Below are 16,117 nucleotides of genomic sequence, written 5' to 3'. Positions count from 1 at the left end.
GCAAAACTTTGATATTGACAAGAATCAACCTCCTCATATCCCTAGCCCTCGCCTCCAAAAGGGCCATGCCTTCAGTATTACAGGAGGCGGAATAACACCACGATCTTCAAATCAACTGGAATAAACCCTGTGTGTGAGTATAAGGAACAAAGGGCAGGCTTGGGGCTCCATGGAGAAGAGGGGAGGGAAGGTAGGCAGGTAGAAACTCCACCAGAAAGGAAGAGGAAAACAACGGGCCTGGATGGAGGACGGTGCCATGGAGGCTGGAGGCCAGAACCTGAGGGCTGGATAGTAGGGGTGGATTGGAAGGACAGGTGACGGAGGTGCAGAGGCTGGAGGCAAGGAAGCCAGGAGGTGGGTGCTGTGCTTGCTAAGGTCACAAGGTTGACGTTGTCACTCAACAGCCTCTTAGTTCCTGTCAGGGGTCTCTGCAGCCCCAGTGTGCTTTGATACCAAATGATATACTAAACAATTTCCTTTAATAAGTGTTTTACGTCCAAGCAACTTTGTAAGAATTGTTGTCTTAGTAGCCATCACTCCTGCCCCAGCCCCACTCACATTTCAGCCCCAGATGTGAGGACTTGGATAGCAGCTGCCTTTTCAGTTCTGTACTCACCCCTTCGCCACCCCTCTCCGAAGTCCCTGGACTGAGGGCCACCCCACTGCATGTCCACAGAGGACAAGGGGAGGGCTTCTAAGAGTGTGTGTGTGTGTGTATGTGTGTGTTTGTGTGTGTTTGCGTAGGGAGTGACTCTGTGTAAGGAAGATGTGAATATAAGAAGTCTGGGAAGGACTTATGAGTGTAGAAGTGTAAAAGGATGGTTGTGTGTGAGTGTGCATGAGTAAGGATTAATATGTGAGTTGTGTAAACGTGTGTGAGGATGGTGTGTGAAAGTGTAAGGAGCTTTGGACTATGTGAATGAGCATATGAATGTGTCCACATGAGAGAAACAGTGTGCAAAGGCCACATTGGTGCATGTGTGTAGAGTGTGTGTGAATAGCCATGTGGTATGAATGTGAGCATGTGTGTGTATTTGTATTTACACCTTTATCTGTAGGTTTGAGCCAACTTAAAGTATTACAGTTTTTTTTTAAAAACCTGCATTATTTTAAGTTCCCGTCAGATTGTTAATGTTTTTAATGTTACTTCCTGGTTTTTTGTTTGTTTGTTTTTGTTTTTCGAGACGGCGTTTCACTCTTGTTGCCCAGGCTGGAGTGCAATGGCACAATCTTGGCTCACTGCAACCTTCGTCTCCCGGGTTCAAGCGATTCTCCTGCCTCAGCCTCCCGAGAAGCTGGGATTATAGGCATGTGCCACCATGCCCGACTAATTTTATATATATATATATTATTAGTAGAGACGTGGTTTTGCTATGTTAGCCAGGCTGGTCTTGAACTCCTGACCTCAGGTGATCCACCCGTCTTGGCCTCCCAAAGTGCTGGGATTACAGGTGTGAGTCACCGTGTCTGGCTGGCTGTTAATGCTTGTTTTTAATTATAGTTTATTGAACCATCAAATGATACATTTATTACGCATGGATTAAATACTAACCACCCCAAATGTTAACTTGCACCCAGAGGGGCTGCATGGCATGGCAGGCAAACATTTCAGGGAGACTTCCCTGGATCCAGAGTGCTGGGGTTAGAGGCTGGGCTCTGCCTTTTCTTAGCCATGTCATTTTAGCCAACTTATTCTCTCTGTGCATCTGTTTCCATACTTATAGGAAACAAACACTATGAAGAACAGGTTCTAAGAGATTTTGTGAGGCTTGATTTAAATGCTCATTCATCTTAAGTGCTTAGCATAAGGCCTGGTACACAGATTTTTTTTTTAAGGCTCCATTTAATTCTTGGGATGCCATCCATCTTGGGATGCCATGTCAGTAGGTATAGTATATAAGACCAAACTAAATATACATCTTCTTCTGAGTATAAGACAACAGGTTTACAGATACGCTTGGAAATTTAAAAAGTATGCAAATGTTACTTTGATTTTTGCTATATTTTTAAGATTGTTAGGATTACTGTTAGCCTAAAGCATCTTTTAAAAAGAAACATGTATAGTCAAGATCTATCCATAATTTGCTAACTATTTCTGAAAAGCATTTTTAAGGTATGGCACTAAAGTGATGTGTTCTCCAAATGTGCTGATGGTCCTCTATTTTACAGAAAGTATGTACCTTCAGAAAGTAGGCAACCGGGAGTCCTTGTGTGACATGGCAGCTCCAGAACATGTCCACACAGGACGAAGGGTAGATATACTTGTACCAAATGAATGTTCAGCAATCTGAGATAATCAACATGCACTACCACTCAGAGTGTGCGTGACTGAGCCTCTCCCTGCCAGTTTCCCTGATGGCTGCTCCCCATCAGGGGTTGGGGAGTCCCTGCTCTGTAAGCAAGTCTCCTATTGAGAAGCCAGGCCCAGGAAGCCTCTCTGCGTGCCCTCTCCTAAATCAGGTTTTAGGTTCCAGAGCTGTTAAGGTTGTAACTATGGACAAGTTCACAACAAACGGACCCAAAAGTCATTCAATCCCCAAATCTAGCCAGTTGAGGTTTAACGTCTAAATTCTCTCTTTTCATATCATCTTTCATTATATAAAGAATTGTTTTCTCTGCAAATTGTTTTAAACAAATAAATGAGTATTTGTGGGGAGGAAATTATGTCCTGCCACTCTTATTGCTGAATATGGTTATTATTACTGTTTTCTAGACATAATGAAGTATTTATTAGTGTTCAAAATAGGATTGACAAATATTACTGAGTGGTCCATTGGATATAAATAGAAGAGTCTTTTTGTTGACAAAATGTCTTATAAAAGTAAAAAGTTACTTTTGATTCTCATAATTTATGTATTTATTCAAAATACATATTGAACATTACTACAGGGTAGAGGCTAATTTGGTCACACTGTTTTAAAAATTGTTTAATCTGTAATGGTTATGGCATTCCATTAAACTCAATAATTAAAATTAACAGCCTTGATATTAAAGCATGACTGGCAAGATGACTTAGCTATAGTTGCTCATGCCTAACCACAGGTTTCAATTATTACTATTAATTATTATTTTTGGCTGGGCACAGTGACTCATGCCTGTAATTCCAGCACTTTGGGAGGCTGAAGTGGGCATAACAACCTGAACATGGCAAAACCCTGTCTCTACAAAAAAATACAAAAATTAGCTAGGCCTGGTGTTGTGTGCCTGCAGTCCCAGTGACTCAGGAGGCTGAGATAGGATGGCTTGAGCTAAGGAGGTGGAGGGTGCAGTGAGCTACGATCGCACCACTGCACTCTAGCTTGGGCGACAGAGCCAGACCTTGTCTCAAAAAAATATTATTTATTTATTTATTTATTTTGAGCCAGAGTCTCGCTCTGTCGCCCAGGCTGGAGTGCAATGGCGTGATCTTGGCTCACTGCAACCTCCGCCTCCCTGATTCAAGTGATTCTCCTGCCTCAGCCTCCCGAGTAGCTGGGATTACAGGCATCCGCCACCATGCCCAGCTAATTTTTGTATTTTTAGTAGAGATGGGGTTTCACTAGGTTGGCCAGGTTGGTCTCGAACTCCTGATTTCAGGTGATGCACCTGCCTTGGCCTCCCTAAGTGCTGGGATTACAGGCATGAGCCACTGCGCCAGCCAAAAATATATATTATTTTTAAGGTTATTTGTCCTCCACAATTAACTCTCAAGTCCTGCCTTGTCATGTCCTGTACTGATGCTCTTGTTGAAACTCTTTGATCATCCTTATACCTTGATCAATACCACAACCCCAAGCTTCTCTAGAGAAGTTCATTTTCATTTTCCCTCCAGAGAAGATGGTAATGGGTTGTTAAAAAGGCACATTAGGAGAAGTGCAACCAGCTGAATTCCCCTGCCTTGGAAAATATTCTGCTGTCAGGGTAGCAAATGCCAGTTTGATAACTGACTACATAGTCTCAAATTTATTGGTACCTGATGATCAATTTTACTGTTCAAGTGCCTTAATATATTGAGTTTAATGACATATTTTTAATACATCTATACTTGTCTAAAATTATAGCAGCATCAACATTATCTTTGGCGAACTGGTAGCATGTGTACATACGTGGCCATACATAACATGGCCAAGTCTTCCAAATGTTGTCATTTAAAATATGACATTTAAACAAAGGGTGCATTTTTTCTTATTTCTAATGTAAATATAATTCATTTCCTGTGGAACAGATAAGAATGGGGAAGAGGAAAGAATAATTGTTCATCTTATACATAAATTTTAATCTGATGCCAAAGTTTGAAAGCAGGTCAAAATGAAGTGAGATTGCCCTTACCTGTCTGAGATGCCACATGAGTCTATCTGAAGGTCACTGAAGTTCCCAAGGGACCCCTGCTGAACTGAAATCAGATCTACCACTTTGCCGCTGATAGAAATGAGCCTCATACATCCCTGAAATCCACCAAGTGGACTTTTACATTTGGATCCAAAGCTTTTGTCAGGACAACCTGATAAAAACGAAATAAATCCAGTACGCATCACAATGAATCAGAATTCAGGATCATAGATAACTTCATTTAAAAAATAAAAGAAAGAGGCATATGATTATTTTCTGTATTAAAGGAGGGAATAATGACTGCAGTCATTATTAGTTTGATCTAAATTACAAACTGAAATTCATACAAAGAATTTTTTATTTACATAGCATTCCCAGGAAGTCACTAGTATTATAATAATGTGCAAGGATATTAACTTGATCTAGATTTGAAAAATATAAACATTGGCTCCAGAATCCTAAACATGCCAGCCAGCAATATTAAACTATATATAACTTACAGATGGGAACTTAGTATTTTGAATTGCAAAATTAAGAACATAAAAGATGAAAACATGTACTATGTATAAGAAAAGATACATTAATAATGATGAAATATCTTTGTATTTATAAAGCTAACTATTTGGAAAATGGGTTCTCTTGGCTTGGAATAAAATTACCAACTGTTTATCTAATTAATTATTGTATTTTCCTATACATAAAGGAACCACATACACAAGGATTTTAGTAAGTCTTGATGGCTTAATATCAAAAATATTTCACAGTTTGATTTTATTCTTTGCCTCATAAAAGGATGTTTCATCTATATTGATTTTTTTCTAACATTTATATAAGGCTGGTTTATAATTATTTAAATAATAAATATAATATTAACCATTATTGTCTGTGGTCTAATGACATTCTAAATGTTTCTCTATCCAAGTGGAATAAATAAGTTTATCGAGTATGAATACATATATTACATTTTTTCAATTTTTAATTTGTATGGATACATGGTAGGTGTATATGTGGGTATATGAGATATTTTGAAACAGGCATGCAAAGTGAAATAATCACACCATGAAGAATGGGGTATTCATCTTCTAAAGCATTTATCCTTCATTTTACAAACAATCCATTTAAACTATTTTAGTTATTTTAAAATGTACAATTATTAATGACTATAGTTACCCTCTTGTGCTATCCTATAGTAGGTCTTATTCATTCTAACTGTATTTTGTACCCATTAACAATCTCCTACTTCTCCCCAAACTCCACTACCCTTCCCAGCCTCTTGCAACAACATGGATGGAACTGGAGATCATTATGTTAAGTGAAATAAGCCAGGCACAGAAAGACAAACATTATGTGTTCTCATTTATTTGTGGGACCTAAAAATCAAAACAATTGAACCCACGGAACGGAGACTAGATGGGTGGTTATTATTTTTTTAATTAATCTTTATTTGCCATGATAGTCATCAACCACTAACACAATTTCAAAGAATAAGAAGTGAGTCAGCAACTTCTTAATTCCTGTATAATCCACACTAGTTTTCTACTTGTGAATTTCCACTGTAATTAAATTGTTTGACTGATAATATTTTTCCTTAATGCTTTGTTTTGCTGACAAAATACATTTACATGGCAAGTAAAGGACAGCATTCAAATTTAAAACTATTATCAGACACACCGAAACATTTTATTTTAACCTAATGGAGACTTTGAAGTTTCAAATTTAATATATCAAGAAAAATTCATCAAAGCTTTTTGAGTGTTAATTTATTGTACATGGTACTACACACATTTCCAGCGCTTAAATTTCTTCTGTAGTGTAAGATATGGTTACCATAATCTCAGTATGTATTCTGAATGACTTATTAGCCAATTAAGAATGTTAGGGTAAAAACTGAAAGGATAATAGTTCAATAATATTTTGAAGCAACTATAATATGCCAGGCATATAAATAACTCTGCTAATCTTCTTTTCTCCAGGTGGCGTTTCCTGACACATCTCAAACTAACTCAGAATAAAATAAATTGTGCAATATGCCTGTAGGGAACAAAGCTAAGCAAACCCAGAGTCACCAGGAAAGATCATGGAATTTTACAGAAAGCATACTATCCTATCATGAGGCAATTCATATTCCTAGCTACAATGTTCAATAAGCAAGAGATTCTATGAACAAAGAGGGGTTCAACCCAGGTTAGCCTCATTAGTCTATGATAAGAGGCAGCAACAAGTTAATATAATGCAATACCAGAGAGAAGCTCAGCACTGAGCCCAATTTGAGATGAAAGTCCTAAAATAGGAAGATTTCTGAAGAATACTTAGTGCTGAATTAATGGATGGATCCATTACTGGAGGCAGTCAGCATGTTAAGCACCTCCGAGGATAACAGATAAATTATCGCTATATGTCACTGCAGCAGAAGTGAGATGTCAGGTTAGACTTCACAGTGCTGTAGTCAGTTCATTGGATGGAGAATGTTTGCTTTACACAAGGGAGGGGGATGTGAGAATTTTGCACACAGTATCCCCAGATTGTGCTGCATGTTGTGTTAGGCATTGCAAAAGATTCCATAGGGGAATGTACAGAAATTAGACACCCAGCCATTCTCAATCTAGAGAATCTAAATTTAAAATGTATAATTTATAAATGATAAAAGCTGAGCAGAATGTACCACCACAATACAGTCCGACTTTGTGAAAAGCACCTGTTTGAGGGTGGAAAAAAAGCTACAGAGTAAAAAGTGATGGATGGATAAGAGAAGTCTGGTGTGGCATATACACAGTGCTGCTAGTTCAGGAGCAGCCCACTCTCCCAATATGACAGCCACTGTCAAGACTGGTAAAGAGTGGAGGTATAACCCGGGCTGTTGGAACAGCCCAGATAAAATAACTGGAAACTTGCAGTTAAATTTAGAGAGAAGGAGAACTGATGAGACGTGTCTCACAACACGGAGTAACTTTTTACTTGAACATAAACTGGCTGAAGAATTATCTAAAAAACACTTTCCACCTAGACAACACAGATCCTAGTGATAGAGAGCAGCCTTATCTACATAGAACTTTCCAGGGGGAACGACTGTCACAGTTCCCCAGGACTGGGGGAAGGAGGTTGTTCCCAGGATGAAGGTCGTTCAGCTAAAGTTGGCAAGAGTTGATCACCCCACTGCCTGTACCAGCCAGGTCCCTGTGGCAGTCTTGCATTTTAGGGACCCTACTTTAGCCCTCCTCCAGTCATGCTCTTGCCCATGGTACCAAAAGGCCTCACAAGAAAAGATGATGTGTCCACTTAGAACCCTTTCCCCTCTAGTTCACTCCCAGGATCCAGAATTTTCAGCCCAAAACCCCTAAGTGGGCTTCTTGGAAGATGGATCGCCTTAACCTGGTTCTGGAAGTACAAGGCTGGGAAGTGCAGGGCAGAGTTTGGCAGCAGGTCTTCTGCTATCATCCGGCTCCTTGCTTCCAGCCCTGGAACTGTTAGGGTGGCCTGGATTTTGCAGGGCTTGTATTTAATGACCAATAGAATCTCATGCCAAGGTCAAGCATATTCTGATGTGAAAGAACATCAATTGAAAAAATGATTGAATAAACAGAGATACCTAAGTAAACTTGAGATTCGTAATTTTTTTTAAGAAAGCCCTGAAGTTGGAATTTTACTGTGGAAGTTCTTACAATATATTATTTAGAAACACCTTAATAGATGTAAAATTATAATACACATGAAGCAAGCATAAAACCCAAATTCAGGAGAGCATTTACATAGGAGATCAAAAGATATGATACAAGGGACAGACATGCATTGATCATCTTTCTTTAGCAGAGAGACACATGGGTAGGTGTATACTTAAGAAAAATTGTTAGTTATCTTTAAAATGTGTATATTATGTAAGGTGTGAACAATAGAGGAAACTGGATGTCGGGTGTGCAGGAACTCTCTATATTTTTGCAACTTTTCTGTAAATCTAAAACTATCCAAAAATACTTTTTAAAAAGATGATGTATATCATATGTATCATAATAAAAACAAGCAAAATTACAGAGTACATGTGTGATATATTTTACTATAAAATTACATTACAGTATGACTAAAAGCAATCACTAGAGTAAAAATTTATATCAACTAGCTAGGCATTGTTAAACCTGAACATGAAGGACATAAAATATGTGAAGAATGATGATTCTATTTTCATGATTTACAAACAATTTTATCCAGTCTTTTATTTTGCATCATTTAACAATATGCCTATTTATTTCCTTATCTCTTTTACTGCTTCTAAATCTTTTCCTTTGAAGTAAAAGCTCTGGGTTAAGTTGTTCTATATATCTTACTATTTATTAAAAGAATGTGTTACTATGGATTGCCATAAAATCAATCATATATTCCAAAAGGTTTTATAAGCAGCCCGGTTTAAACATCTCAGTAAAGGAAACAAGTATATATTTTCAGATTGTTGGCCCTAAGCAGCCTTTCACAGTAATGGATTATGTAGCAGTTTTTTTGTTTGTTTGTTCTTTTGCTTTTAGAATCCTATAAACTGATTCATGGACTGTGTGCTCACCGTCAATACTTAGAAAATAATTTGTATTTTATTAGTGAATAATAGAGACTCAGCTACCTCTATCAAATGCAAAAATGATTCCAGATACAAGCAATTAGTAAAATGTAACATAACGATGACAAAACAACGCTAATATAAGCAACACCTCAACATGATTAGAAGTGAGTCTTACTGCTGGCAGTTTTAAAACATTGGATTTCTAACGGAAAAGAACATTTGTTTTAATTTGCCAGTGATAAAAAATTCATTTCCATTTTTTAGGTTTTCTTTTCCAGGCTTTTAGTTCAAACAAACATCCACTGGGCGGGTGGATGCTTCATTTGCTTTTGTTCTCTAAGGGAGATGAGCTGGTGTCGAAGGCTGATGCCCTGATTTCATCAAATGTATCAGTGCATTATGCTTAACAAGGAGAAGAGGTTGCTGGGGCTGATTAAGTTAAATTATTTGTCCTTTGGCATAATATTGTCCTTCTGTACTGGACAGTAGGGAAGCAATAAGGATGCTCTGAAGGAGCTAAGGGCATAATCAAGAAACTACTGCAATTAAATCAGCCCATAAAATCAGAAGAAGACATATAAGGATCATTTAACATTAGGAAAATATAGCAAGGTTTGAAGGTGAGAACTGAAGAGGACAGCCTACTTAAAATCAATCTCATCAAGAAACTGTAAACAGAAGTAAGTCCACCTTGCAGAAATGCATTTCAGGTCAGAATTTTTCGACTTGATCCACCCAAAATGTCCGTGATCAAAGACAGTGAAAAATTATTCCTTAGTATTCATATTAGTTAAAACATGATGACTTCGCCAAGACACGGGGGCACTAATGCAAATATGGTTCAGTTGCTCATAGAGCCTGGCACCTATTCTTACCTCCAAAATAATAGGTGCCACCCGAATAAATCTGCTCAGGCCCCAGCAGAGGAGCAGCAGAAGCCATCTGGCCGTCCACCGCCACACTCAAGTGATTCTTTTTAGCAGATAAAGAGACAGAATGCCACTGCCCATCATTTAATTCGACACCTAGGGAGATGAAATCAGTTAGAGATCGCTCTCAATAGTGAACACTATAAGGAGTTGGTTAGAAACAGCAATATACACATCACTCAATTGGCTACAGTACTTAACTCTATTATTAATTAAAAACAATGACATCAACAAGGAAAGGGAGACAAATTGGAAATGAGCATCCTCTATGTGGAAAATGGGGCATTCCAAATTCCCAACCCTGGACAATCCTGGATGGTTACAATATTTCAATAATTTGTCATAGATTGATTTCAGCTTCCATCTATGTAATTTCCTTCTTAGGGAGGAAGGGTTTAGGAATTCCCAAAATTCCAAGATATACCCAATAAAATGGTTTACCTGCTACTTTGCACTGTTTTATAACCACCTTTTTATGGTAGGATAATAGAGTATTTAGCAAACTATACCATCAATCATTACAACAATATTGGAATAAACTATTAATAAATAGTGAAAGTTTACAGGTATAAAGTTAAATATAAAGCACCGTGAAAAGCCATGTATATGCAATTGATCCTCGTAGTTTGTAGATTTGATATTTGAGAATTTGCCTCCTTATTAGAACTTACTTGTAACTCTCAAATCAATATTTGAAGGGGTGTTTTCAGTCATTTCAGGACATGTACAGAGCAGTAAAGACCTTAAGCGGCCCTGTCCACATTTCCTGCTGAGGTCAAACAGGGCAATGCTCTCCCTCATTGCTGTAGCTCTCATACTGTAAATAATGTTTTCTTTAAATTTTTGTAAGTTTGTTTGTGATTTCACTGTTTAAAGTGGCCCCCAAACATAATGCTGAACTGTTGTCTAGCATTCCTAAGAGCAAGAAGGCTGTGATGTGTCTTTTGGAGAAAATACATGTGTTAGATAAGTTTCATTCACGCATGAGTTAGGGTGCTGTTGGCCATAAGTCCAATGTTAATGAATTGACAACATTATACTAAAGCAGACGTCCTTAAACAGAAACACACATAAAACAAGATTATGTATTGACTGATTGAGAAAATGTTGTGACAGACGCTCCCAGGAACCTAACTCTGTATTTCCCCCAGGAGCAAAGGTTCAGTATTCCCTAATTCAGTGTTCACAGACTTTTTAGAACATAACTATAGTAAACAATGTGAATAAACTCTCTATATATTTATATACAATTCTAAATATATATATATATATATATATTTTTTTTTTTTTTTTTTTTTGAGACATGAGTCTGGCTCTGTCGCCCAGGCTGGAGTGCAATGGCGCGATCTCGGCTCACTGCAAGCTCTGCCTCCCAGGTTCAAGCCACTCTCCTTCAATGTAGCTGGGACTACAGGCGCTTGCCACCACGCCTGGCTAATTTTTTTTGTATTTTTAGTAGAGACGGGGTTTCACCGTGTTAGCCAGGATGGTCTCGATCTCCTGACCTCGTGATCCACCCGCCTCGGCTTCCCAAAGTGCTGGGATTACAGGCGTGAGCCACCGCGCCTGGCCCTAACTATATTCTTATGTAAGTATGGGAAGGGACTGAACAGAAATGTTCTTACATAGAAATAGTAGTTTTTGGCCAGGTGTGGTGGCTCATGCCTGTAATCCCAGTACTTTGGGAGGCTGAGGCAGGCGGATCACCTGAGGTCGGGAGTTCGAGACCAGCCTGGCCAACATGGAGAAACCCTATCTCTACCAAAAATACAAAAAATTAGCCAGGCGTGATGGCACATGCCTGTGATCCCAGCTACTGGGGAGGCTGAGGCAGGAGAACTGCTCGAACCTGGGAGGCAAAGGTTGCGGTGAGCCGAGATTGCACCATTGCACTCCAGCCTGGGCAACAAGAGTGAAACTCCATCTCAGAACAAAACAAACAAACAAAAAAAACAAAAATAAAAAGAAACAAATAAAAAGTTTTTTTAATAAAGGAAAAATATGATTGTTTCTATTTACTTACATATTTTCCAAGTTTATATATATGTAGACATGTATAAAGTCAAAAGTTGCTAAAATCAAAAATCGAGGTATTCTTATCACCTCTAAAAAGCAATCTCTAGTCCCTCCTAAGGAAGCCCCAGTGTCATGAATCCATCAGAATGCATAGACTTTTCCTCTTACAGACAATCGATTCTACAAGGAGCTGTGTAGCTAAATGTTGAGCAGAGGTGAAATCTAAGAGTCTTTGTCGTGAATTTACCAGTCAGGTTTACATCCATTTGAATAGTCAACTCTGTGTGATTCTGCAGATCAAATTAAGAAACAAAAAAATAAGCAATCTATCAAAACCAAACAGCCTTTTTTCTGATATTGCATGTGATTTCTTTACTGATTTTATGTAAAAGAAGTTTACATAAATATGTGATATATGTGATTTCTTTTATTTTCCCGAAGAATTTCTACCACATACATTTGGATCAAAAATGCATCAAAACTCCCTTAGGTGATTACATGTCTTTGCCCTGGACATATATGGTCTAACACAAATTTTAGCCAGGGCACAGAAGCTCACTTTTACATCACATCCATGAAGCAAAAAAAGATTACTGAAGACCCAACTCTGGTTTGGTTTGTGTAAGATAATAGGAAAGGCCTGAAAACTGGAATGGGAAGAATGTAGGTTAGATACATTTAGACACATTTTCTAAGAGTGGACTCTGAAATAGACAGCTGAATAGAGTTATGTAATCCTTGATGGTACAGGACTGGATTAAAATAAATCAGATGTCCTAGATTTGTCATCCAGTGCTTCCTTTAAGATAGATTTCACTCATTTAGAGAGAAATTTCTTATACACTCTCTGTGTCACGTGTATATTCTACCCACCTGCCCCTGGCATTTCTCCGACATCTCATTCTCAAAGCCCTGTGTGCAAGACTCTACTTCTCTTATTTCATTTTAGACTTTCCACTGGTGTCCAACAGTTCTTCTCAAACTATCTGTGGGGATGAACATTTTATTATCTGATCTATTGCAAATTGATACTTTTATAAAATATGATGAAAATAAATTACTAAAAAAATAGATTTTGGCAAGGCTACAGAAAAAAAAAGGGGGAACTGTAAATTAGTTCAGCTTCTGTGGAAAGCAGTTTGGAGATTTCTCAAAGAACTAAAAGTAGAATTACTATTCGACCCAGCAATCCCATTACTGGGTCTATACCCAGAGGAAAATAAGTCATTCTACCAAAAATAGGCGTCCCCAATCCCCAGGGCCATGGACCGATACCAGGTCTGTGGCCTGTTAGGAACTGGATCACACAGCAGAAGGTGAGTGGCTGGCAGGCAAGTGAAGCTGTATTTACAGCTGCTCCTATCACTTGCATTACCACCTGAGCTCTGCCTCCTATCAGATCACTGGCAGCATTAGATTTTCCTAGGAGTTCGAACCCTATTGTGAACTGCACATGCGAGGGATCTAGGTTGCACACTCCTAATGAGAATCTAATGCTTGATGGTCACTGTCTCAAATCACCCCCAGATGGGTCAATCTAGTTGCAGGAAAACAAGCTCAAGACTCCCACTGATTCCACATTATGATGAGTTGTATAATTATTTCACTATATATTACAATAATAATAGAAATAAAGTACATAATAAATTTAATTTGCTCGAATGATCCTGAAACCATCCCCCAACATTACAGTCCCTAGAAAAATTGTCTTTCATGAAAACAGTCCCTGGTGCCAAAAAGGTTGAGGACCACTGACCAAAAAAGATGCCTGCATTCACGTATTTATTGTAGTATTATTTACAATAGCAGAGACATGGAATCAACCTAGGTGCCCATCAATGATGGGTTGGATAAAGAAAATGTGGCACATATACATCACAGAATATTATGTAGCGATAAAAAAGAATGGAATAACATTGTTTGCAGCAACACAGATGCAGCTGGAGACTATTATCCTAAGTGAATTAACACAAAAACAGAAAACCAAATACAGCATGTTCTCACTTGTAAGTGGGAGCTAATCACTGGGTACACATGGTCATACAGATGGGAAAAACAGGCACTGGGAACTTCAAAAGGGGAGAGGGCATGGGGCAAGAATTTAAAAACTACCTATCAGGTACCATGTTCATTATTTGGGTAATGGGTTCAATTGAAACCCAAATCTCAGCACCATGCAATATACCCATGTAACAACCTGCACTTGTACCCCCAAATCTAAAATTAAAAAAAAATAAAAAGTAAAATAACAAATAAATAAGACATAAAATACAAGCCCACTAACCATGTGCTTAGATGTTGCAGTGATCTCTTTTTACCAGTTTCTAGGAGTTTAATCTCAATTTTAACATTCATCTCATCATAGATCAGTTAAAAGTATTTCACTGAGCCAGTGCTGGTCCAGGACCCATACTTTGAGTAGCAGGGCTCTGGGCAGTCATTGGTTAGGCATGCAGCAGGATTAACTAAAAGGCTTGGGGAGGCCTACTGTCCATACAGAAGCAAAAAATAGATCAGGAACAAAAGACTGCCAGAGTAACCCACTCTGTAATTTGGCACACATTTAAACACATTCATCTAACAAGCTAGCAGGTTACAGGTTGTGAATAGAATGAAGTTGTGCCATGTTTGTGGGGGAACCTTCAGAAAGCTTTTCCCAAGCCTCCTTTGTAACAAACATTATTTGCCTATGATGAGGAGACTTAATACCTGTCAATTGGAATTTATTACTCAAATCACAAAATGTCCCTTTAACTCATTTCAACTAACTCTACCTAATTTTAAATTAGATTCTAATTGTTTTGTAGCTATACAACTCCTTTCCGTTACTAGGTCTGATAATAGGTTGGCCCTTTTCAAGGGCCGCACCACTGTGAAACAGGAAGGAGAAGGAGAAATCATAGAATTTGAATTTGTTTTCTTGTTTCTGATATTGTGTAAGTAAATGAAAATTCTATGCACCCAGTCCCACCACTCATAACTTTTAAGTCTGGGGAGGAACATGTTGTCATAATAATAAAATAGTAATTTTATTGAGGTATTACTTATAACAAATACTGGGAGCTTTCTATGCATAGTATCATTTAATCTTCACTATAACTTATCATTCTCACCTTAAATACGGAGAAAATGAGGCTCAGAGAGGAAAAGAAACTACCGAGGTCACATCCAGCTGCTGGATAGCTGAAGGAAAACAGAAAACCAAGACTGACTCCAAAACCTACACTCTTCCCTGTCTGCAAGACAGGTGTCTGCCTTACTTTATTTTATTTTATTTATTTTTTGCTCATATTAAACAATTAACTCTAAGAAAAATAGGCCGCAACAGCTAGGACACAGCCTGGTACCACCAGTGAGACCTTGGTGTTGTAAGAATCTGGCTGGCACTGAGGGCTGGGCTTTGGTGTTCTTCTGTTGAACATCAACAATAACACAGAACACCAACATCAGACAAGGCCATTCTGTGACTATAATGAAATGAAGGTGGGGAAAAATCATGACTACTTATAAACTTGTCTAAACACAGACAGAAGCAAGGCTATTGTACAAACCTCAAAAACACAAACTTCTTTCTCTCCTGATACTTATGAATGACCAACTGTTTTGTTCTGTATTTACCAATTACAACTTTAGCCTTACTTCGTTATTTCATCCTTCTAGATAAGGTTTACAAAGATATTTAATCATAGAATTACCCTCACTTCGTGACAGCATTTAGTCTACAGCAATTTTTCACTTCCTTGAAACCTCCCTCAAATCAGCTAACACAACCCCAAATCCTATGCCATTCTAACAACTTTGTCTTCAGACAACCGTTGGTTTCCAGGGTGTGTTCTCTGTGTTGCAATAAGCAATAAATTCAACTTGTTTAACTCCAGATATGTTAATTGCAGTCTTTGGATGGAAAACATTGACAATGCCAATTGGAATAATGGAAGGATGGAATAGTAGATGGAAGTGTTTGCAATTACACGTTGGAGACCATGAGATTATGGCCTAGAACGTTCTCTCTCTCTTTCCCTTTCTGTTGCTCTCTTTGTTCTGTCTTCCAGCCTAAACCACATAAACATACAAAATACAGCAGGAGAAAAAAGATTTACGTCTACTTCCATTCTACAGATCGTCTTCTAGTTCCAGTCCTAAATTGCATCAGAAACATGAGAGCTTAGTTGTCATCACCCTCTCATAAGACTACAACACATATCTGTAGTGCACAATGTATAAGAAAAAAAATTAGCCTGCCATATAGGGTAGGAGTTCAGCAAAGGTGCAAAAGGCAATTATACCTAGGCCATTCCTCAGGGAAAAACCAAAGGGTGTT

The 16,117-nt window shown here is 38.2% G+C and overlaps 1 protein-coding gene across 16 annotated transcripts in view; it reads right to left on the bottom strand.

The window, feature by feature from the left end:
* The window catches only part of CNTNAP4 (contactin associated protein family member 4), a 283,357-nt gene that overhangs the window by 88,926 nt on the left and 178,314 nt on the right, over window positions 1–16,117 (bottom strand). For 13 of the 16 annotated variants that reach the window (NR_136210.2, NR_136213.2, NM_001322189.2 and 10 more), the window contains 2 exons: window positions 9,727–9,876; window positions 4,309–4,480 (listed from right to left, as the gene is read on the bottom strand). Coding sequence is in view for 13 of the 16 variants with exons in the window: in NM_001322189.2 (NP_001309118.1) it covers window positions 4,309–4,480; window positions 9,727–9,876 (322 nt within the window). In the remaining 3 variants the exon portion in view is untranslated. Of the gene's footprint in view, window positions 1–4,308; window positions 4,481–9,726; window positions 9,877–12,669; window positions 12,783–14,909; window positions 14,980–16,117 lie in introns of all 16 variants that reach the window. The other 3 variants (NR_136216.2, NM_001322187.2, NM_001322178.2) reach the window with 3 other exon arrangements.

The sequence above is a fragment of the Homo sapiens genome, chromosome 16 (genome assembly GCF_000001405.40).
Source record: "Homo sapiens chromosome 16, GRCh38.p14 Primary Assembly".
NCBI classification, from domain to species: domain Eukaryota; kingdom Metazoa; phylum Chordata; class Mammalia; order Primates; family Hominidae; genus Homo; species Homo sapiens.
The sequence above is the reverse complement of the archived record's forward strand: the minus strand, read 5'-3'. Positions and strand labels throughout refer to the sequence as shown.